Below are 19,171 nucleotides of genomic sequence, written 5' to 3'. Positions count from 1 at the left end.
TGGCCCGGCCCCCGCGAGAGGGGAGGAGGCGGAGGAACGGCGCCAGCAGCTTGAGGAGCGGCGCGCCCCGCCAGGGCTGGAGGCAGGCGTGCACGGCGGGCGCCACCGTCGCTGCGGGGGAGCGGGGGCTGCCCTGGGTGCGGGTGAGTGGCACGGCGGCTCCAAACCACGAGGACTGAGGGGCGCCGGACACCGGGAAAGCGGCGAGAGACTCGGGAGAGGGTCGAGTCTCTGCTCCCGACGTCTGGTGGCGGGCCAGGAGCGGAGCCCGGAGTAGCGAGCAATCAACACCTCCAGGCGGGAGGCCCGGGGAAGGAGCGGCGACACGCCAGGCGTGCGGCCCAGGAGCGGCGGGGCAGTCGGAGCCTCCGGGACAGCGGAGTAGGAACCTCGGGACCCTCGGCTGCAGCCGCCCACGCGCGGAGGGAGAGGTATCAGAGCGCGGGCGGAGGCCGGAGCCCCGCGGGGCGCGAGAACAGGGGCGCCCCCGTGCGGAACTGCCAGGCTGCCCGGGCGCGGCGGCCGGGGCCATGCTCAAACCCAAGGACCTGTGCCCCCGAGCGGGGACGCGCACCTTCCTGGAGGCCATGCAGGCGGGCAAAGTGCACTTGGCCCGCTTCGTGTTGGATGCGCTGGACCGCAGCATCATCGACTGCCGCGCGGAGCAGGGCCGTACGCCGCTCATGGTGGCCGTGGGGCTGCCGGACCCCGCGCTGCGCGCGCGCTTCGTGCGGCTGCTGCTCGAGCAGGGTGCTGCAGTGAACCTGCGAGACGAGCGCGGCCGCACCGCACTCAGCCTGGCGTGCGAGCGAGGCCACCTGGACGCCGTGCAGCTGCTGGTGCAGTTCAGCGGTGACCCCGAGGCGGCCGACTCTGCGGGCAACAGCCCGGTGATGTGGGCGGCGGCCTGCGGCCACGGGGCGGTGCTCGAGTTCCTGGTGCGGTCCTTCCGCCGCCTAGGCCTGCGCCTCGACCGCACCAACCGTGCGGGGCTCACCGCGCTGCAACTGGCCGCCGCCCGCGGCCACGGGACCTGTGTGCAGGCCCTCACCGGGCCCTGGGGCCGCGCCGCCGCCGCCGCTGCGGCCCGGGGCTCCAACTCCGATAGTCCCCCTGGCCGCCCGGCCCCCGCGGCCAGCCCCGAGCATCGACGACCCAGCCCCCGCCGCCTCCCGCGGCCTCTCCTGGCGCGCTTTGCGCGAGCGGCGGGCGGCCACGGCGGCGAGGCTGGCTCAGCGGGCAAGAATTCGGGCCGGCACCGGGCGCAGGGCAGCGAACGGCCCGAGCTGGGTCGGAGCATGAGCCTGGCTCTAGGTGCGGTAACCGAGGAGGAGGCTGCCCGCCTGCGGGCTGGGGCCCTGATGGCCCTACCAAACTCGCCCCAGTCTTCGGGGACTGGGCGGTGGCGCTCACAGGAGGTGCTGGAGGGAGCGCCCCCAACCTTAGCGCAAGCCCCCATTGGCCTCAGTCCCCACCCGGAGGGCGGCCCCGGCTCTGGCCGCCTGGGTTTGCGCCGACGCTCCACAGCCCCAGATATCCCCAGCCTGGTCGGGGAGGCGCCAGGGCCCGAGAGTGGCCCGGAGTTAGAGGCCAACGCTCTGTCTGTCTCGGTGCCTGGGCCGAACCCTTGGCAGGCGGGCACCGAGGCTGTGGTGCTGCGTGCTCAGCGGTAAACGGCGCCAAGGCCCGAGGCCTGCTTCCCCTACCCTCCCGTTTCTACTCCACTGGTATTTCTCTCTTCTAGGTCCCTCACCTTTTCGGCAGCCGCCCCCCGCAGTCCATTTTGGAACCTGCCTCCCTGCCAAGGCGAGACCTCCACCAGCCCTCCACCAGAAATAAGGGACCTCCATCTTCTTTTTTGTGCTCCTCGGTATTCCCTGCCTAGGTCTAGAGGTGTCGATTGACTGGTTCCGTAGGCTACAGCCAGGAAGGTGGATTCCCCCTCCCCAGCCCTCAGGCTCAATCCTGGGTCGGCCTAGCCATCTGTCGCTCCTGTCCGGCCCCCCTCCCCTCGCTGGGTTTCCCAACAACTGGGCAGCCAGGTAAATAGAAGGGTCCACCTTGGAGAATAAGGACCCAGCCTCCCCACTTTCTGCCTACTGATGCTGACAATAATCCCACAAACTACCAAAGTCTCCTTTCCCTCCAAGTGTGGGAGAAGGAAAGGACGGAGGGGGCCCTAGAGCCTTTCAGGACTGGAGGGTTGAGGAGGAAGGGGTCTGGCTGTTATGTTTTTCCAGGGTAGAAACTCCTGTCTCAAGACAATGAAAGCATATTTTGGGAGTGGGAGAGTCCCTAGTGTTGAACACCAGTTGTCCCTTGAATCAGCTCCTGGGTAACTCCAGCTCCCTCTCTCTCTGCCCCAGGATTCAGCTTCATTGATAATGTGGAGTCACTGCTCCACACAACCCCTACCCAGGCCAACTCCGGGCTCCAGAGCCAGCCCGCTCTTCAGCTCAGATGCATTTGAATTCCATCATCGAGGTTCAACACCTCACCCCTGGAGGCCCAAGCCCTATTTCCGCTGGGTCACAGAGGCCTGAAATGGAAAGGACTGAGCGCTTCCCCGCCTCCACGCCTCCCAGCTCCCCCGTCCCGCACGTGGGTGCTCCCGCGGGGTGGAACGGTTGCGAAGGCTGTGCTTAATTGTATTTCTTCCAATCCTCAAAGAACTCGTGTTTTAAGCCTTTGTATATGAAGCAGAAAGCAGCGGGTCTGATTCCGAGGCTTAAGAGCCTGACAATATCTCTTTAAATAGAAGCTCCGCGAGGGGGATAATTGACTAAAGTGTTTGCGACGTGAAACGGCGGCGCGCGGGAGTCGGGAGCCCACACGAGCTGCGGGTCCAGGTTTAAATTATATCAAACTCTGGCGAGAGCTGGAAGGAGCCTGTTAAACGGCTCCTGCTTCTCGCTGGGCCGTTAATGGAGGGCAGGGCGGATGATGGATGCTAGAGTTCGAGACCCGGGACTCCTGCCTTGGTCCTACCGCGTGGGACGCAGGCCCGGCCCAGTTTTATTACTGGGTAGATGAGTAAGTCAGAGGCAACCGCAGAGAGGTGGTCAGAGGCCCTTTCCTGACACTGTCCTTTGTCCCCTGCCTGCTCGCCCCCACCCTCCTGCCCTATACTGGCCTAGCGAGGCGGCGGGGTTGGGGGCGGGGGTCCGGCGGGACGGGTGCGCTAGGACCTTGCGGAAGCGCCAGCACGTGTGTCAGTGCGCCTGGCCCGCGGGGAGGCGGCAGGTGGGGCTCTTTTGTGAACCCTGAGGGTGGAACTTGAAGCCTTTCACCTGCCTGCAGTAAGGTCTTTGCAAGACTTCGATCTGTTTGCCTTTGCAGTACGGAAGGTTTCTCGCCAGCAACTCCCAGGGAACTGCCCAGAGCGAGAATGTGCCGAGATACTGCTGGGCCTGGCGGTGAGGGGTGGGCGGCCAGGAGTGGGCCTCGTGCAGGTGTCAGGACACCTATCCAGTCCTTGCCCTCCGCTTGCCCCCATCCGCTAGGCCAAGCAGGCCGGCGCACTGGACGTGATCTCTGGTGCCCCCTGGTGGCAGCGCTGGGCCCTCCCCGCTGCGCCCCGGCTCGGAGCTCAGACATCCTGGTTTTCTTTGGGATCACCCCTGTGTACTTCTTCATCCATGTGCATTTATCGTGGAATCCTCTTCCTCTTGTAGAATATTAAATCCGGATACTTGAAGTCACTTTACAGCAGTGAAGTGAGGGACAATGAACAAAAAACTCGCATTGAGAGTAGCAGGAGCCCAGACCCTTCAATAAGGACCCCAAGTTAAATCTTCCAAGTTAAGGCTGAGAGCTACAGCTCTCTTCCGAAAAGCTGGAGCTGCCAACCCTTCCCTTGGGACCTGCCGATTATGCAGTTTTCTTCTGATACTAGCTTTGGTTTCTGAGGTATTCTGCCCTCTCCCTCCCCTCTTCTCCCAAAACATCTGCCTCTCCTCAGTCCCCGTCTGGGTGGTGGGTGCACAATACCAAGTGCCTGAAAAGCCTGAGAGAGAGGGTCTGGGGTAGGGTGGGGACCACTGGACACCCCAAGTGCAAACTGCTGCTTTCTGACCCTTGCTTGCTTATGTACTCCCTTTTCAACTGTGTTGAATTTTAATGACGTTTTTAGTGGTGTAGAAATGCAAGTATTTTGGCTTAACAGCATGAAGTCTGGGTTGCACATTGTATCAGAGGTGCTGTAATCTTTCCAGTATCTCTGATATACGGCTTTCTGGTTGAATGTCACCCTGGGCCCTCTTGACTGGATAAACAACCATGAGGGCTCTTCTCTGTGGAGCTGCCGAGAGCTTGGTGGTAGAAAGCGATGTTTCTAAACAACTGCAGCGGCTCTTTCCTGTCTGAACTGCATCGTGTGTCTGACTGCCTTGCTGTCCATACATACAGACTCCTTCCCAGGCCCGGCTCTGTGCAGAACTTCCATGTTTTACCACATTTTTCTCTCCTGAACTCCCTTTGTCAGCCCCAGGGTGTTGAGGCTGGGTCCTCTCTAGCAATCTCTACCTTCAGAAGAGACTTTTCTAAATATTTTGCTTTTCCAGTTCTTGTTGCTTTTGTCATTGTGAAGAGTCACCCAGGATGCTGGCACTTGGTACCCTAAGATCAGAAGTGGTGTGTGTGTGAGCTGTGAGACATGCACACCCTTTCAGAGTGATACTGTGTGGTGGAAGGACTGTTAGAACTCAAAGAATAGTTAATAAATCCAGTGTATTATTCCGTTGCGAGAACTGGCCTCTCTTTGCCTTATCAAGCACTCCTGACCCTCGGCTCCCTTTGGAGAGATGGACCGAGCCTTTGCCTCCTGTGGAGGCCCCTGCCTTAGTGAGCCTCCGCCCTGCCCGTCCTACTGTGCTGGCTCCTGAAGGTAAGTCACAGGTGCTGCTTCTGCTGAGCTGGGGGGACAGGCCGGGCCAGCCGCAGCACCAGGGCACCTGTCAGGGTGTGAATGCACTGGGGAGTGAAAGAAAGGCTGCATGGTTCCTTGCTCCTGGCTTGCTCCTGAATCCTGGGCAGTGGGAGATCTCAGGAAGGAAGTGCGGGAATCCGTGTGGGAGCTGGAAGTTGCAAGATAATTTCATCCACCTCCCCACCCCCAGAACGAAAGCCCAGGCTCCCTGGTTTCCAGGCTCTGCTCCGTTCTTTTTGAACCCCACACCATCTCCCTCAGTCCTGAGGAGTGAGGCAGGGACTGCTCTCCCACTGGAAGCGGTTTCAGACCACTTCCTATGGACAGCTGGAGGTCTGGGGTGGGGGTGAGGAGCGCGCAGAGGATGGGAGAAGCTGACACACAGGGTGGTCGTCAGCCACTTCGGCCACCCCCCGCAAACGCAGCGCAGGGCCCTGGCTTTCCTTGTGGGCTCTTCTCCCCTGGGGAAGTAGCCCCGTCTATTTTTCATCGCCTTCATTCCCAAGGGCCTTTCACTTCCTGTTTCCCTTCCTCTCTGCCCTCCTTTCGGGTCCACAGGCCACCAGGGAAGTTGGGTGTTCTGTGGTGTGGCTGCTGGAGAGCTCACGTGGGGAGGAGGGGAGGCTACACGAGATTCACCCGCCACAGGAGACCCCCCTCCAAGACGGCCGGTCTCCGCTCCCAGAGACACAGGAAGCCCAATGGCTTTGAACACTCAATTTAATTTAAAACAGGCACAAGTGCAAACAATTCACAAAAATTTCTAGGGAAGATGCTTTTGTTTTGAAAACTCTGACCCTTAAAAAAAAGTCCTTGCAATTTCTTTGCCCCCAGGTAGGTCACTAGGGAGCAGAAGAATCTAAAAATATTATCTAGATAGAAAGGGTCCAGACACCTGAAGTTCTTTCCTGGAATTCCATCTCACAGCAGCCCTGAAGTGGGGCAGGGCCGAGGAGGACAAGGAGACAGCAGTCTGTGGAGGCAGCTGGGGCAGATGGTTTGCACACATGGATGCCTGTGACCTTGACATGATGGAAACCCGGAGGTGGTTCGCCTTCTCTCCCAGATAGGGTTCTGAAGAGAACAATGGGTCCCTGATGACCTGGTTATTGAGATAAACTTGAAAGGTAACACAGTTGCCAATCCTTACATTCCTGTCTCTGGCCCTCACGATGCACAGTACAGGAGAAGCTCAGAAGCCTCCTGAGCTCCCAGGAGTGTTAGACTTAGCATGGACCACTCCACTGGCCAGGTAGACACAGGAGTGGAGAGGTGGAAGCCAGGCCAAGAAAGCAGGTCCCTTCAGGCCAGAACTTAGTGGGAGAGAGGGGCAGCCTTCCTGAAACTGGCTGTGGGTGACCTGGAGGGACCTGGGCTGTCAAGGTGGCTTTCCTCCCCTTACACACACACACACACACACACACACACACACACACACACGATGTTCTCTCCATTCTGTAAAGTGAGAGCACCTTCACCACCGACCCCATTCTTTCTCTTTCACTCAGAAATTGTCCCCTCACTCCCTGCCCCCAGCCATGGCCTGGAGCAGGCCATTCACAGTTCTGGGCGGGGAGGGGCTGTACAGGTGGGACTGCACCTTCAGGACATCAGACGTGAGGGAGGAAGCGGGATTCCGGTCATAAAAACCACCCCGTGGCCCTCTCGAGACTCGAGGTTTGAAGCTGGAGCTGAGAACAGCAGGTATCTGTGGAGACCAGCAGTCTGCCCTCTGCAGTGGCCTAGGACACTAGTGGACAACTGCCTTTAAAAAACCACAGCAGCCTTTTCTACTGTGTTGGCTGCAGAGGCCAGGAACGCTGGCCTCTGCGTTTCTTAGAAATATCCCTGTGCAAATATCAAGGGGTCATCCTGTAGAAAGGGGTCTCCATCTGGGGACTCGGGAGGGAGAGACACTGAGGGGGCAGGTCCGGCCTGGCCCAGTAGGCTGAAGGGCAGAGGGTGGGGCTGGGGCTTCACATTTCAATCTTTGGAGAGAATACTGAGAGGAGGAGGCAGGCAAGTCCTGCCGGCAGGCTGGCTGCCCAGTGTGCCCTGCCTGTGGGCGTAGGTGGCAGGCATACTTGGGGTGGGCTCAGCAGGTGGAGGTCTGCTTTCGGTAGAGCTGGATCAGGGGCACCAGGCACTCAGGTAGCCCTGTCTGCAGCAGGAAGGGGTGGTCTAGGAGCTCCTGGGCTGTGGCTCTCTCTTGGGGGTCCCGCACCAGCATCCGCTCCAGGAAGTCTCGCAGCACTGGGGAGACCTGTAGAGGCAGGGCAGTAAGATGAAGCCACAATTTGCAGTCACTTCGGGGTGACCTGATTGCCTGGACTTATCATTGTTTGAAAGTCATGAATTCGCTGGTTTTTTAACTTCCTGTTCCCTTGTCCCTCCCCACCCCCTCAAGGCTCTCAGCATTCAGATGCTATAGCTCTGTGGAAGGGGCAGAGGATTGGCATCAGTGATCCAGATCTGGCTCTATCCGTGATCTCAGGCAAGTCACAGTTTTCTCTAGGCCTCAGTTTTCTCATCTGTAAAATGGGCTAGTGATAAAGTATGCTTGCCCTGTCTGCCACATAGGGCTTTTGAGATTTTAAAAACAGGTCGCTGGGCGCAGTGGCTCAAGCCTGTAATCCCAGCACTTTGGGAGGCCAAGTTGGGCAGATTACGAGGTCAGGAGTTCGTAGACCAGCCTGACCAACATGGCGAAACCCTGTCTCTACTAAAAATACAAAAATTAGTTGAGCATGGTGGCACGTGCCTGTAATCCCAGCTACTCAGGAGGCTGAGGCAGGAGAATTGCTTGAACCCAGGAGGCGGAGGTTGCAGTGAGCTGAGATCGCACCACTGCATTCCAGCCTGAGCAACAGAGAGAGACTCCATCTCCAAAAAAAAAAAAAAAAAAAAAACCAACAACAACAGAAACAAACAAGTCAAGGATGAGGAAGTACTCTGAAAAATAGAAAATAAAGTGAGACCTGAAAAGGAAGATTTCTTTGTTGCTCTAGGCCTTAAGAGTCTAAAGCAAGGGCTTATCTTGGTTCATTTTGAGCCAGTATCTTGGGATGAGGCTGAGTCTTGGGCAGAAGGCTACATCCTCTGAGGAATTAGCCAACTGGAGATCTTTATATGCTAATTTTGGGGTTAGCGGTGCGGGCTCCAAGGACCAGTTGTCTTGGAAGATGTTTCCTGTTGGTCCTCCCATCCAGCTTTGTGTTGGGGCCACAGAACTCTTGTTTTTTTGCTATTTTAGAGGAGAGGCTTCAGCCCTCTGAGACATTTCTTGTTTTGGCCACCAGATGGCGGTGCCACTTAGCAGCCCCGTGCTGACCTGCCAGCAGGGGGCGTCCACAGTAAGGCCTGCGGGGTTGGGGCCGATTTGGCAAAAAGGGTTACATGTATACACTTCCATGCACTTATACTGGCTTTAAGGGGAACGCTGTGGCTTAGCTGTGTCGGGGTGTGCAACGATGGAGCATGAGCCGACTCGCCGTGATGGACAGGGACATCGAATCATGGTATGGATCTCCCGACACGGGTTAGAAGGGTTTGTGCTCAGTGAAGCTTCTCCGGATCCCTCCCTGGACAGCAGGGATTGCTGGTGTCCTGGCTTTCCCTGCTCATGGGCCCCACTGGGCTTCCGACCAGTGCCTGCCAAGCAGCAACCCTTCTGCCAAGCAGCAACTCTCCTGCCACAGCCGTGGGAGGCGACTTGTCGGAGCGCACATGCGAACTTGTGCGTAGATGCGGCTCCACACCCAGGTGCGGGTTTTGTGTGGGGAAAGAGGAGCCTTTTCCAGGAGCCCAGACCCTGTGGCTTCAGTGGAAGGGAGATGCTGGGAGCCCAGGTTCTGGTCCCCTTGCCTCAGGAGGAATGGGGTCTGCGAGGTCGCACCCTTGTGTGCCAACTGACCTTGTGAGAGTTTTTCAGCTTGGGTGGGGGGCTGTCCCGGAGCCTCTTCATGGCTTGCACTGGGGAGTCACTGAAGTACGGTGGCTCCCCATCTACCATCTCAATCACCATGATGCCCAGAGACCAGATATCCACCTGCAGGAGGAAAATGTCCCTGACCCCATGGCCAGACCCTGGCCCATTGGTAGCTGCGTTCTGGTGGCAGCAGTGGTGGAGGGGGGACAGCTGGCCCCAGCTCTCCTTGGTGGGTCTGTCTCCTTCCTCCCCTGGTCACCTGCCCTGTGGCCAGTTACTGCCTGCATGAGTGACCACTGCCTATAGGGACACAGCTGTCAGTCACTCAGAGAAAGGCCATCATACATAGGAGGCCCGGCCATACCCCATTCTGCCCTTGAGCTGAGGAAAGCACTTGCAGGACTCGTTCCTGGCAGCAAAGTCACTGGGTAAGAGCAGCCCCATCGAAAGGGGGAAGGGTGTTGACTAGGTGGGACTCTGAAAACCAGGGCTGCTTTTGGTGAGCTCACTGGAGGGGCCACAGCAGAAGAGCTGCCAGTTGCCAAGTTGCTTTTGGGAGGTCTGGGGGGTGGAGGGAACGGTTACCTCAGTGGCATACAAAGACCTGGAGATCACTTCAGGAGCCATCCAGTAGGGGGTTCCCACCAGGGACTTCCTCTTAGGGACGTCTTTGCTGATCTGAGCACAGAATCCGAAGTCCGAGAGCTTCACCTGCGGTTGAAAAGGGAGTGAGTGGTGGATCAGGAGGAAGTGGGAGCGTGGCTGTGCCAGGGACAGGATGGGACCTACCCTGCCATCGAGGGTCAGCAGGATGGAGTCACTCTTGATGTCCCGGTGGATGACACCCTGAGCATGCAGGTAGGCCAGGGCCTGCAGCACAGCCTCACACACAGTGGCAATCTGCTCCTCATTCAGCCTGGACAGGAAGGTGGGGCCACCCGATGAAAGAGAACGTTAGCTCTGGCAGGTCGTGGGGTGGCTGAGCAGAGTAGGAGTCCCTGGTGCTAGGCCCCACAGCTCCCAGGCAATCTGTTTGGCAGCACAGTCAGGCCATAGCCCTGGTGAAAACTGGGGCCTGAGCTTTGGCTAGAAGCTATCCTTCTCTTCTCCACTCCCAAGACCCCTGGGTCTCAGTTACCCCAGCAGGCAGGGGAGCCCAGGCATCCCAAGTCTTCTGGGCCACAGGCAGAAGACCACATTGCCCTGGCAGGGCCATGGTGAGGGCAGCCTGCACTCAGGGTCCAGCCCTCCCAGCTGCCCACCTGACTTGGGAGACGATGTCTGTGAGGGCTCCTCCCTGCAGGAACTCCATGAGCACCCACAGCTCCTCGCCCACCAGGTAGCTCTTGTACATCTCCACCACGTTGAAGTGCTGGTAGTCCCGCATGATCACCACCTGGGGGCAGGCGGGGGCCTGAGTGCCAGGCACAGTGCCCAGACGCATGGCCACCCACTGCCCCTGCTCACAGATGTCCAGCCTGGCTGGCTGCTCACTGCCCATCCCCAACGCCCCCGTCTGTGTCCCACCCTGTCCTCCCACCTCGTTGAAGAGCAGCTCCCTGCGCTGCTGCTTCCTGAGGTCCATCATCTTGACGGCCACCTGGCGGCCCGAGTGCTTCTCCCGGGCCAAGCAGACGATGCCGGTGGAGCCCTCGCCAATCTTCACGTAGCTGTCCAGCAGCAGCCGGGGGTCACCCTGGTCCACCACCATCCTGAGCGCAGCCTTGAACTGCTCATGTGTCACAACACCTGTGTCCTCACCAGCCAGGGCACCCTTGGCAACCGTGGGGTCCTGGGGCAGGTACAGGTTGCTGGTGCTGATCTGGGCGTGCCAGGTGCGGGGGGATCCCGCTGGGGAAGACCGGCCTGGAAGCTGGCCTGTGGCCGGGGCTGTGCGGAGGGACTTCTGGGGGCTGCTGGTATCCGAAGTGGTCAGAGGGCTGAAGGTCCCCACCGGCTGGTCCGAGGGCAAGGACTGGGCCTTGGCCACCAGGCTTGGGGGGTTGTCTTTCTGCGGCGGTCGGAAAGAGGAGTTGGGCTGCAGGGACAAAGCAACAGGAAGGGTCAGGGCTGTGGGAGCATTTGGAATAACCTTCCCGGAGGCAGGGGCTGGCCGCCGTGACCTCTGGACTCTGGCAGGGTCAGGCGGGGTATCAGATCAAACTAGGGAGGTGCTCTGAGCAAAGATTTTCAGACAGAGCTGAAGCCCAGTCACAGTCCTGTGCCAGCAGTCCCCCGCAGGGCACCAGGCTGGGCAGGCCCAAGACAGCTCCTTACACTCGCTCTGCTGCACCTGGGAAGACAGAGAAGGCCAGCTCCCCGCCGGGTCCTGCGCTGGGTATTTCTTCCTGGGCGATTGACAGCTAGACCCCAGGGAGGCTGCCGTGAGGCAGACTCTTCCTCTGAGCTCAGAGGCTGCTTGAAGAATCTGGGTCAGAGGCATTCTTCACTCCCAAGGCTCCCCCACCCCAGGACCCATGGGGGCAGAAGAGGCCTGGCAGTGGGGTGGGGAGCAGTGGGCAACTGTGTCTCCACTCCCTGAACCAAGGCAGGGGAGCCACACCTGGGGCCCGATAGCCCTGCCTGTGCCTGCAGCAGGGAGTTTGCAAATCTGTGCTGGGAGGTTATGTCCCTGACAGAGGACCACAGAGGTGTGTCACCATCTGGGGGGTTCTCAGGTGTCTCCCCTGGGCTGGGAATCTGGTGCCAGAGAGATCTGGAGTTAGGAGGGTAGGTCCAGCCAAACCCAAGCCTTGAGGCCAGGGATGGGGAGATGTCTTAAGGACCCCCTAAAGGAGTCCTTCCACTTCCTCCCTGGCATGAAACTCCTGGCTAAGGAGCCCCCGGGAGGGAGGAGAAGGTAGGGGGCCTATCCTCATTGGCTCTGGCAGGGAGGGAGGAAGGGAAGGTGGAGCTGAGGGGCAGCCTGGGCCCCCAGTGAGCCCTGCTCAGGCCCAGCCCTGGAAGCCTGCGAGGCTTCTTGCTTTTCCGAGCCCAAGCCCTTCTGCTCTTTCTGACAGGAAAGGTGCCCGCCCATCTTTGGGTTCTCCCCAAGGAGCGGTGATATGCACCATGACCCCTCCCAGGGATTACGTGTTTTTAAAGGGCACCTGGAGAGGGATGCTTCAGGGGATGCAGAAAAAGCCTTCTAGGAACTTCTCCAAACCCATCATGTAAGCCATTGTCTTAGGTGCCCAGTGGGTCCTGGTCCTGATCCCATAGCTGAAACAACTTACAGGAAATCTCAAGCAGTAAGTTTGGGCTGGGATGCTTGCTCAGGGACCCCAAACCCCAAATCTGGGCCTTGGGCCCCACCAGAGTCTTTTCAGTGTCTTTGGCAACCCTCACTCCCTTCCTTCCCCGACCCCCCGCAGCTTCAGGGCTTCTACTCTCCAGCCAAGTCCCTGGCCTGCTTAGGGTGGAATAGGCACTCCTGCTGGCCGACAGCCATGCTGGGGCAGACTTCTGCCACCCCCACACCTGCCTGCCCACCCGAGTGTGTGCTTGACCTTCACAGGAAAGAAGCTAGCAATCCTCCCAGGACTGCCTGGACTCACTCCATCCCTGATGAGTACATTTGGACAGTAAACATTCTCCCATGTCCTCGCCAGCACCTGACTGTCACCATCCACTGTGACACTGTGACACTGTCACCATCCACTGTGTAGTGGAGCAGTGGGACCCCTGGACTGGGCTGTCAGGACCTGGGGCCCAGCCCTGGGCTGCTCTGCCCTGTGATGAGCCTTAGGCAAGTCATCCTCTCTGAGCCTGTCTCCACTACAATGCAGGGACGTGTGCAGAGATCTGGGGAGCTAGAGAAACCGCAGACTTCCCGCCTCAGAGCCTGATTCGGTGGGAGCCTAGAGCAGAGACTGCATTTGAACAAGGTCCCTGGGTCCTAGGAGGCCCATGGAACATACTTTGAGAAACTCTGCATAAGTGGGCAGTATGATCTTACGGCCTCAGGGAGCCTCTGGGAGGGCTGTGAGGGGGGTGGAGGGCGCATGGCCATGACTGAGGCTGTGATACCAGGTCCTGGGAACAGAGGTTCCATGAGACGTCACCAGGCAGGGACAGGGAGGGAAGTGGGGCAGGGCTCACTGCATCACACAGTCAACCTGTAGAAAGGCTCGGGGCTCTAAGGAAGCTGCCTGCTGGCCTGAGTGTGGACTTAACTCAGAAAACATGCTCTCCAGGCACCCATCCAGGTGGGTCGGGGCAGAAGCTTGGGGACCACCTAAAGCTCCTCCTGAGGTGGCTCTGATGACCTCTCATCCTGAAGCTCCTAAGAAAGGCTGTAAAATGAGATCATTCCCCTCCTGGCCTTGAGGGCTTCTGCATGGGCCAGCTCTACTCTGAGGATGTGTGGGTACCACGTGGACAGGCTGAGGTAGGGGTTTCTTCCCTGTCTCCACAGGCCAGGTCCCTGTGCTGCTGCTGCTGCTGCAGGTGCTGGCTGGGCTCAGGGCGGAGCCTGCGTCTGGAGGCTGGGGGAGGGATGGCCCAGCCAGGAGCCCAGCACAAGCAGAGTCTGGGACATAGGCTGGGGAGTCTGGGGAGCTGGCTTGGTCTTCAGCCTGGCAAGGTCTGGTCTCTAGCATCCTTTCGTTGGCTTCACTGCCTGTCTCCACAGGGAGGGAGCTTTTATCAATGTAATCACAAGCAAGGACCAGATGAAACTTGTGAGGCCACACAAGAAAGGGAAAGGGGGACACGACAACAGAATTAATTAATTGTTACAGGCTCTGGATTAATTCTGAAGTTACTCATGTGATAGACCTCTTGGGAAGAAAGCCACTAGAAGAGTCATGCATACATTTACAGCAATGCCTCATTTCCCGCCCTGAGCCATGGCTCCCCAGCTGTGGGCTTAGGGGGCTATACCTTAAGTATCCTAAAGGGGAGAGGCCATGGCATAATATTTTTAAAAATAATAAAGCCGGCCTGGCATGGTGGCTCAGGTGCCTGTAATCCCAGCACTTTGGGAGGCCAAGGCAGGTGGATCACTTGAGGTCAGGAGTTCAAGACCAGCCTGGGCAACATGGTGAAACCCCATCTCTTCTAAAAATACAAAAATTAGTTGGGTATGGTGGAGCGTGCCTGTAATCCCAGCTACTTGGGAGGCTAAGGTGGGAGGATCACTTGAACCCAGGAGGTGGAGGTTGCAGTGAGCCAAGATTGTGCCACTGCACTCCAGCCTGGGCGAAAGAGGGAGACGCCATCTCAAATACTACTAATAAAGCCATTTATTGAGGGCTTACCACTTTGACAAGTGCCTTCAACGTACTATCTCATGTAATCCTCATAACCCTGTGGGTTGTTTGGTTGTCCTGTAGGCACTGGAACCCGCAGGACGCCCGTGGCTGCTGACTCCCATGCTGCAATCCCACTGGTGCCATGTATCCTTGACATATATCGGAGTACACGGTAGGTGCTTAACCAATGTTTGCCCTTCTGACTCTAAGTGGAACATGTCTAATCCCTGCAAGCTCCTAAAAAACTGTCTTGCCTCTTTGGTCTCTGTGCCCCCACGCCCTGTCTTCCTGATCTCTTTAGCTAGAGTGACTCCAGGCCTCACTGCCTGGGGCTAGGTACAGGAGCCCTGGAGTCTATACTCAGACCCTCCTGCAGCCATGCCTGGCACACTGCATGGCCTCTGTGGCCTAACTGCTGTTATGGAAGCTGCTGCAAGTGTCCAGAGTCAGCCCCAGTGCCAAGGGCTGCTGGCTTGATCTGGGGACTCCTGGGGTAGGTGGTGGTGGAGGAGGAGGAGGAAGGCTGATGCTCCCCATCTGTTATTGAATTTGCTTAAGGCAGTGGTTCTTAATGGGTGTGCTCGAGTGACATTTGGCAGTGTCTGGAGGCATTTTTGGTTATTCCAACCGAGGGTACCACCAACTTCTAGTGAGTAGAGGCCAGGGAGGCTGCTACAGTGCAAGGAGAGCCCACCACAAAGGATGGACTGACCTGAGCGCCTGCAGTGAGGACGCTGAGAAGCCCCGGCCCGGAGCAGCTCGGGGGGTCTCAGCTTGCCATTGAGAGGCTTGGCTTCAGAGTAGAAATCTTGAAAGATGTGTCTGAGTTGCCCAGAAGGAAACCACTCCCCTGGATTTGGAAGTATGGTGTTGCTGAGCTCGAGATAACTACCGCCTGCTCCCACAAGTATGGGGGACATCCCGGCATACCCAGCAGCAGTGGCCCATGGTGAGTACTCAGTACATTGTGCAGGGATGGACAGGCCTCTCCCCCTGCTGTGGGGTGCTGGCAGGAGCCCAGAAAGATGCAAATGAGTGCCCAGCCCAGTGTTGACAACCCCTTTCTCCAAATCCCTGAGGCCTCGCAGCAGGACTCCTGAGAGACAGAGGGAGGTCAAGCTCCGAATCTCACCTTCCCAGCAGGGTGCACTGTCCTGATCTTACGTTGGTTTTCTGGCTGAGTCTCCCCAGGGGCACAGCCTTCCAGACACCCTGCAGCTCACAGATGCTCGTGTTCCTCTCACAGATACATCAAGCCACAACCCATGGGGATCCCAACCCACTGTCCTTTAACCTAGTAGGGGACTAGAGTGCACAAAGCTCAGAACTTTCTCTTTTTTTTTTGAGACGGAGTCTCGCTCTGTCTGTCCCCCAGGCTGGAGTGCAGTGGTGCGATCTCAGCTCACGGCAAGCTCTGCCTCCCGGGTTCACGCCATTCTCCTGCCTCAGCCTCCTGAGTAGCTTGGACTACAGGCGCCCGCCACCGCGCCCGGCTAATTTTTTTTGTATTTTTAGTAGAGACGGGGTTTCACCGTGTTAGCGAGGATGGTCTCGATCTCCTGACCTCGTGACCCATCCACCTTGGCCTCCCAAAGTGCTGGGACTACAGACGTGAGCCACCACGCGCGGCCGCCCAGAACTTTCTCTGAGTACCTCAGCTGGCAGGCAGTGACCCAGAGAGGTTGTAGTCCGGGTCATCCCCAAACCCACACCCTGTGCAGGCTGGGCCACACTCACCCCACCGATGACAGGGGAGTACCCAGGCTTGTCTTAAAGCCCTCCCAGGAGGGAGGGGAGGCTCCATTACCCATGCCACTGTCAGCAGCCGTTTCTTAGGACTGCCTTTGACCCTCCCAGGAAGGAGCTAAAGAACAAGTGGCTGCTGTGCTTGTAAAGCCTTCATACGCAAGAGTCATGAGCCAAGAGGGCCCGGGCCGGACAGGCAGCCCCAGAGCACTCCCCACCTTCCTTCTCTGACTCACTCTCCATCATGCCTGGGGGTGACTCACCCTCTCTCTATCAGTCTCCTCCTCTGCCAAATGGGAAAAGAGGTTACTGTCACTATCAACAGGATGCTGGAGGGCCTGGAAGAAGCAAAAAGGTGCGCTCCACTCTGCCTGCCAAGAAATGTCACCACGGGGGCTCCCTTCACCCTTTCCTTTCTCACAAGAAAAATGTGCGTCTGAAGCAGTCACACATGCCACAAGTCGGCCTCCTGCTGCCCCTGGACTAGGCAAATCCAGCTTTTCCTATGGCCACACACTTGGGAACAAATACTGACAGAAATGGGAAACAACACAACAGCCACAGAGAAAAGAAGGAAAGGAAGGGAGGGAAGGAGGAGGCGAGCCACCCTCCTTAGAGAAGAGGTTACCGTGCACATTTCTGCCGCCTTAGGCGGAAGCAGTCCAGGGAGCCTCTTTGCCAGTCCTCCAAGGGGAAGGCTAGGCAAGGCCTGTGTCCCTACACCCACTCCCCAGTGGACACCTGCAGGCCAGGCTCCTGACTTACCTTGCTCTGTGGTGGAGGGCCTGGCTTGCTGCTGCTTGGAGGGGCTGTGGCAGCAGTGGACAGGAACATGCTTCGGAATAGCCTGCGCTTCAGGCTGCTCTCCCGGGTCTTAGGGCTAGGGCTGCCTTCCCCACCTGGCCTGCCTGTGGCTGAGCCCACCAGGCAGGACTGTGGCCGGGCCTCCTCAGAGCCATGCTTGGCAGCCTTCATTCCATGCCTATTGGTGCCCGTGGGGGGCGAGGCTCCTGGTGGGGAGCTCTGCAGGCAGGCACCCAGCTGCAGACAGCGCTGCGAGGCACCCTGAAACTCGGCGGGGCCCAGGGACTGTGCCTTTGCAGCCAGCCCATTGGGCAGGACCCGTGGGCTCTGTGGCTCGGGCCACGGCATCTGCTTGTGGCCTGCTGGTGTGCCCCCGTTGCAGCTGAGGTAGAGGCCGTGGGGGTCAGTGCGCTCAGACTGGGGGCTCTGGAGGTACATGTCTGGGTCGGTGGCCCAGTGCTCATCCCCCAGCAGCCCCAGGGACTGTGCCCGCCGCCGGCTGGTGGGGCTGCGGCCACGCAGGGTGTTGGAGCTGATGACTGACAACTTCTGGATGTCGTTGAGCAGCCCCGAGATGTAGCCATCCACAGGCATCGCGCTGCCCCGCACCACTGTCTGTAGGGGGAAGAGAAAAGAGTGTGTGGGAGCTGCCCAATTGTGGCAGGGAGGGGTGGCTGGGAGATCAGGGTCAGAGAATGTCCCTGGGGGCCCTGGGGAGGACCACCTAAGGACCTTCCCTGCTGTGTCATCCACCCATTAATTTTTCCATAATTTATCAGGGCCCACCGTGGGTCCCGCCTGTGCTGGATGCAGGGATGCGGGGAGAAGGCCCAGCGTCAGCAGAGCAGATGGTGAGTGCCATGGGGCTGCATCCAGCATGCCCAGGGGTGTGGTCGGCTGGGCCAGGGAGCTGGAGCTCAGGGGGCGGGGCTCCATTCTCTAGCTCCACGGGTGGCTGGGAGAGATGTGCCCAGCCCTCTGAGGAAGAGACACCAGGCCGGGGGCTCCTCCACACACACTGGCTTCGCAGCCTCCAAACCCTGATAGGGCCCCTGACCCCACCTTCTACCAGGCTCTTGGGTCTACTAGTCGTGACCCTCACAACTAAAATTCTCCTGGTCTGGGAGAGCCCTCAGTCCCTATGGGGCTGCAGGTCCAAATATTGAATGGGACACGTCCTAAAAGACTATTCGTTGTCATCTGAAATACAAATGCAATTGAGCATCTCACATTTTCATGTGCTGAATCTGGCAACCCCACCACCCTGCAGAGAGGGTCTCCCCAGCCTCCTTCGCCCTGGCTTACCCAGGGAGAGAATGGCAGGCTGACAGGCAGGGAGTTAAAACAGCTGATTAACTGATAGCTGTGAAGTAGGTGGTTCCTCCAGGGGCCTTTCTGAGGTTTAGCCAGGCATGGTTGTCTGAGTACTGGGAGAGGCTGAACCTCATCCCTGCCGGCCCCTCTTACCTTCATGGGCTGGAGCTGCACCCGTGTGATTCGCGAAGGGTCCACCACGGGCTTGGGGCGCCGCAGTGTGTCCAGGATGTTCTGCCATTGTGGGGGGAGGCCCACAAACTTGCCTTCTTTGGGGTCGAAGGAGGTGTGGACACGGTGCTGGAAGTTCTGTGGCGCTGAGATCTCAGGGCGTTTCTTCTTTTTCTTGCGGAACATGGTGCCTGTAAGTGCAGAGTAAGGTTGAGCTCCCTCCCGGGAAAGAGGGGTGGCTGCAGCAGGGCCTGGGGCACCAGGTTCAGGGCTCCCTCCCCTCCCCCAGCACAGCTCCCCTAGAAGCCTAGGGCTTCCCTCCACCTCCATCTCTGCTTCCTCAGGGAAATGGCTGGCTCCCAGCAGAACAGTCCCAGAAACAACAAACGTGCCATAAATAAGCCAGTGCAGACTATAAACAAGGAAAAGAGGTGTCTTCTTGCCTGTGCCAAGTCCCCTATGGAGCAGGCAGACTCTGGGGGTGTGTTTTTATAAAATCCAAAGCCCATTACAAGTATCATTCCACTGTCTGTCAACGAATTTTAAAAATGGGGAAAGAGGGAGGAAAGTTAGCAAGCTTGTTTTATGAAACGAGTATGACCTTGATTCTTAAAACCAGATAAGGAGAGTGCAAGAAAAGGAAAATTTGACTCAATATCATTTAGGAACGTAACTATGAAAATCTTAAAACTATCGAATTGAATCCAACAGTATATTAAAGTTATTTTTTTGTTGGCTTTTTTTTTTTATTACAACTCAGCTTTGTCCCAGGATGGTTGAACCTGTTAATATGATACGTTAATAAAAAGCCAACCAGCTGATCACAGACATGCTGCCCGGTGTGGGACTATTATGTATCAGGGAGCCCCCAAAGGGCCTTCATGGTTACCATGTGCTTTACCTCAATTCCAGAAAGGCCCTGAGCCAAGAGGATAGCCTGGGGTGGGTGAGGGGCAGCTAACTTAGGGGTAAAGCTCTCCAGAGAAGGCAGAGAGCACCACCTCCCCTTGACACTCTTCTCTCTGG

At 58.0% G+C, this 19,171-nt stretch overlaps 3 protein-coding genes across 8 annotated transcripts in view, besides 6 other annotated features; 1 reads left to right on the top strand and 2 right to left on the bottom strand.

Moving 5' to 3' along the window:
- Nucleotides 53-4,745, top strand: ANKRD63 (ankyrin repeat domain 63). The gene has a single exon (NM_001190479.3). The coding sequence runs from the start codon at nucleotides 531-533 to the stop codon at nucleotides 1,671-1,673; it is 1,143 nt and encodes a 380-aa protein (NP_001177408.1). The 5' UTR covers nucleotides 53-530; the 3' UTR covers nucleotides 1,674-4,745.
- Nucleotides 92-161: a silencer, noted in NCBI's record as "silent region_6322". NCBI's record gives its function as "represses an Ori minimal core promoter by ATAC-STARR-seq in GM12878 lymphoblastoid cells {active_cell/tissue: GM12878}" and the evidence as "EXISTENCE:reporter gene assay evidence [ECO:0000049][PMID:35858748]".
- Nucleotides 232-291: a silencer, noted in NCBI's record as "silent region_6321". NCBI's record gives its function as "represses an Ori minimal core promoter by ATAC-STARR-seq in GM12878 lymphoblastoid cells {active_cell/tissue: GM12878}" and the evidence as "EXISTENCE:reporter gene assay evidence [ECO:0000049][PMID:35858748]".
- Nucleotides 302-571: a silencer, noted in NCBI's record as "silent region_6320". NCBI's record gives its function as "represses an Ori minimal core promoter by ATAC-STARR-seq in GM12878 lymphoblastoid cells {active_cell/tissue: GM12878}" and the evidence as "EXISTENCE:reporter gene assay evidence [ECO:0000049][PMID:35858748]".
- Nucleotides 2,302-3,086: an enhancer, noted in NCBI's record as "H3K4me1 hESC enhancer chr15:40572232-40573016 (GRCh37/hg19 assembly coordinates)". NCBI's record gives its function as "activates a minimal SCP1, AML or CMV promoter by ChIP-STARR-seq in naive H9 embryonic stem cells {active_cell/tissue: H9 hESC(naive)}" and the evidence as "EXISTENCE:reporter gene assay evidence [ECO:0000049][PMID:30033119]".
- Nucleotides 5,630-19,171, bottom strand: part of BUB1B-PAK6 (BUB1B-PAK6 readthrough) — a 60,060-nt gene continuing 46,518 nt past the window's right edge. For both annotated transcript variants that reach the window (NM_001128628.3, NM_001128629.3), the window contains 8 exons: nucleotides 18,128-18,336; nucleotides 16,622-17,275; nucleotides 10,396-10,893; nucleotides 10,118-10,251; nucleotides 9,645-9,771; nucleotides 9,441-9,566; nucleotides 8,841-8,975; nucleotides 5,630-7,190 (listed from right to left, as the gene is read on the bottom strand). In NM_001128628.3, coding sequence (NP_001122100.1) covers nucleotides 7,023-7,190; nucleotides 8,841-8,975; nucleotides 9,441-9,566; nucleotides 9,645-9,771; nucleotides 10,118-10,251; nucleotides 10,396-10,893; nucleotides 16,622-17,275; nucleotides 18,128-18,331 — 2,046 coding nt within the window. In that variant the 5' untranslated portion in view covers nucleotides 18,332-18,336 and the 3' untranslated portion in view covers nucleotides 5,630-7,022. The remainder of the gene's footprint in view (nucleotides 7,191-8,840; nucleotides 8,976-9,440; nucleotides 9,567-9,644; nucleotides 9,772-10,117; nucleotides 10,252-10,395; nucleotides 10,894-16,621; nucleotides 17,276-18,127; nucleotides 18,337-19,171) is intronic.
- The window catches only part of PAK6 (p21 (RAC1) activated kinase 6), a 38,425-nt gene continuing 24,883 nt past the window's right edge, over nucleotides 5,630-19,171 (bottom strand). For 2 of the 5 annotated variants that reach the window (NM_001395431.1, NM_001276717.1), the window contains 9 exons: nucleotides 18,128-18,336; nucleotides 16,622-17,275; nucleotides 10,396-10,893; nucleotides 10,118-10,251; nucleotides 9,645-9,771; nucleotides 9,441-9,566; nucleotides 8,841-8,975; nucleotides 7,012-7,190; nucleotides 5,630-6,001 (listed from right to left, as the gene is read on the bottom strand). In NM_001395431.1, coding sequence (NP_001382360.1) covers nucleotides 7,023-7,190; nucleotides 8,841-8,975; nucleotides 9,441-9,566; nucleotides 9,645-9,771; nucleotides 10,118-10,251; nucleotides 10,396-10,893; nucleotides 16,622-17,275; nucleotides 18,128-18,331 — 2,046 coding nt within the window. In that variant the 5' untranslated portion in view covers nucleotides 18,332-18,336 and the 3' untranslated portion in view covers nucleotides 5,630-6,001; nucleotides 7,012-7,022. Of the gene's footprint in view, nucleotides 7,191-8,840; nucleotides 8,976-9,440; nucleotides 9,567-9,644; nucleotides 9,772-10,117; nucleotides 10,252-10,395; nucleotides 10,894-16,621; nucleotides 17,276-18,127; nucleotides 18,337-19,171 lie in introns of all 5 variants that reach the window. The other 3 variants (NM_001395430.1, NM_020168.6, NM_001276718.2) reach the window with 2 other exon arrangements.
- Nucleotides 8,680-9,180: an enhancer, noted in NCBI's record as "H3K4me1 hESC enhancer chr15:40566138-40566638 (GRCh37/hg19 assembly coordinates)". NCBI's record gives its function as "activates a minimal SCP1, AML or CMV promoter by ChIP-STARR-seq in naive H9 embryonic stem cells {active_cell/tissue: H9 hESC(naive)}" and the evidence as "EXISTENCE:reporter gene assay evidence [ECO:0000049][PMID:30033119]".
- Nucleotides 9,902-10,403: an enhancer, noted in NCBI's record as "H3K4me1 hESC enhancer chr15:40564915-40565416 (GRCh37/hg19 assembly coordinates)". NCBI's record gives its function as "activates a minimal SCP1, AML or CMV promoter by ChIP-STARR-seq in primed H9 embryonic stem cells {active_cell/tissue: H9 hESC(primed)}" and the evidence as "EXISTENCE:reporter gene assay evidence [ECO:0000049][PMID:30033119]".

This window comes from Homo sapiens, chromosome 15, assembly GCF_000001405.40.
Source record: "Homo sapiens chromosome 15, GRCh38.p14 Primary Assembly".
Taxonomy (NCBI): domain Eukaryota; kingdom Metazoa; phylum Chordata; class Mammalia; order Primates; family Hominidae; genus Homo; species Homo sapiens.
The sequence above is the reverse complement of the archived record's forward strand: the minus strand, read 5'-3'. Positions and strand labels throughout refer to the sequence as shown.

Excerpts from the sequence above, each read along its gene's own strand:
- ANKRD63 (NM_001190479.3), top strand. The coding sequence starts at position 531 with ATGCTCAAACCCAAGGACCTGTGCCCCCGAGCGGGGACGCGCACCTTC.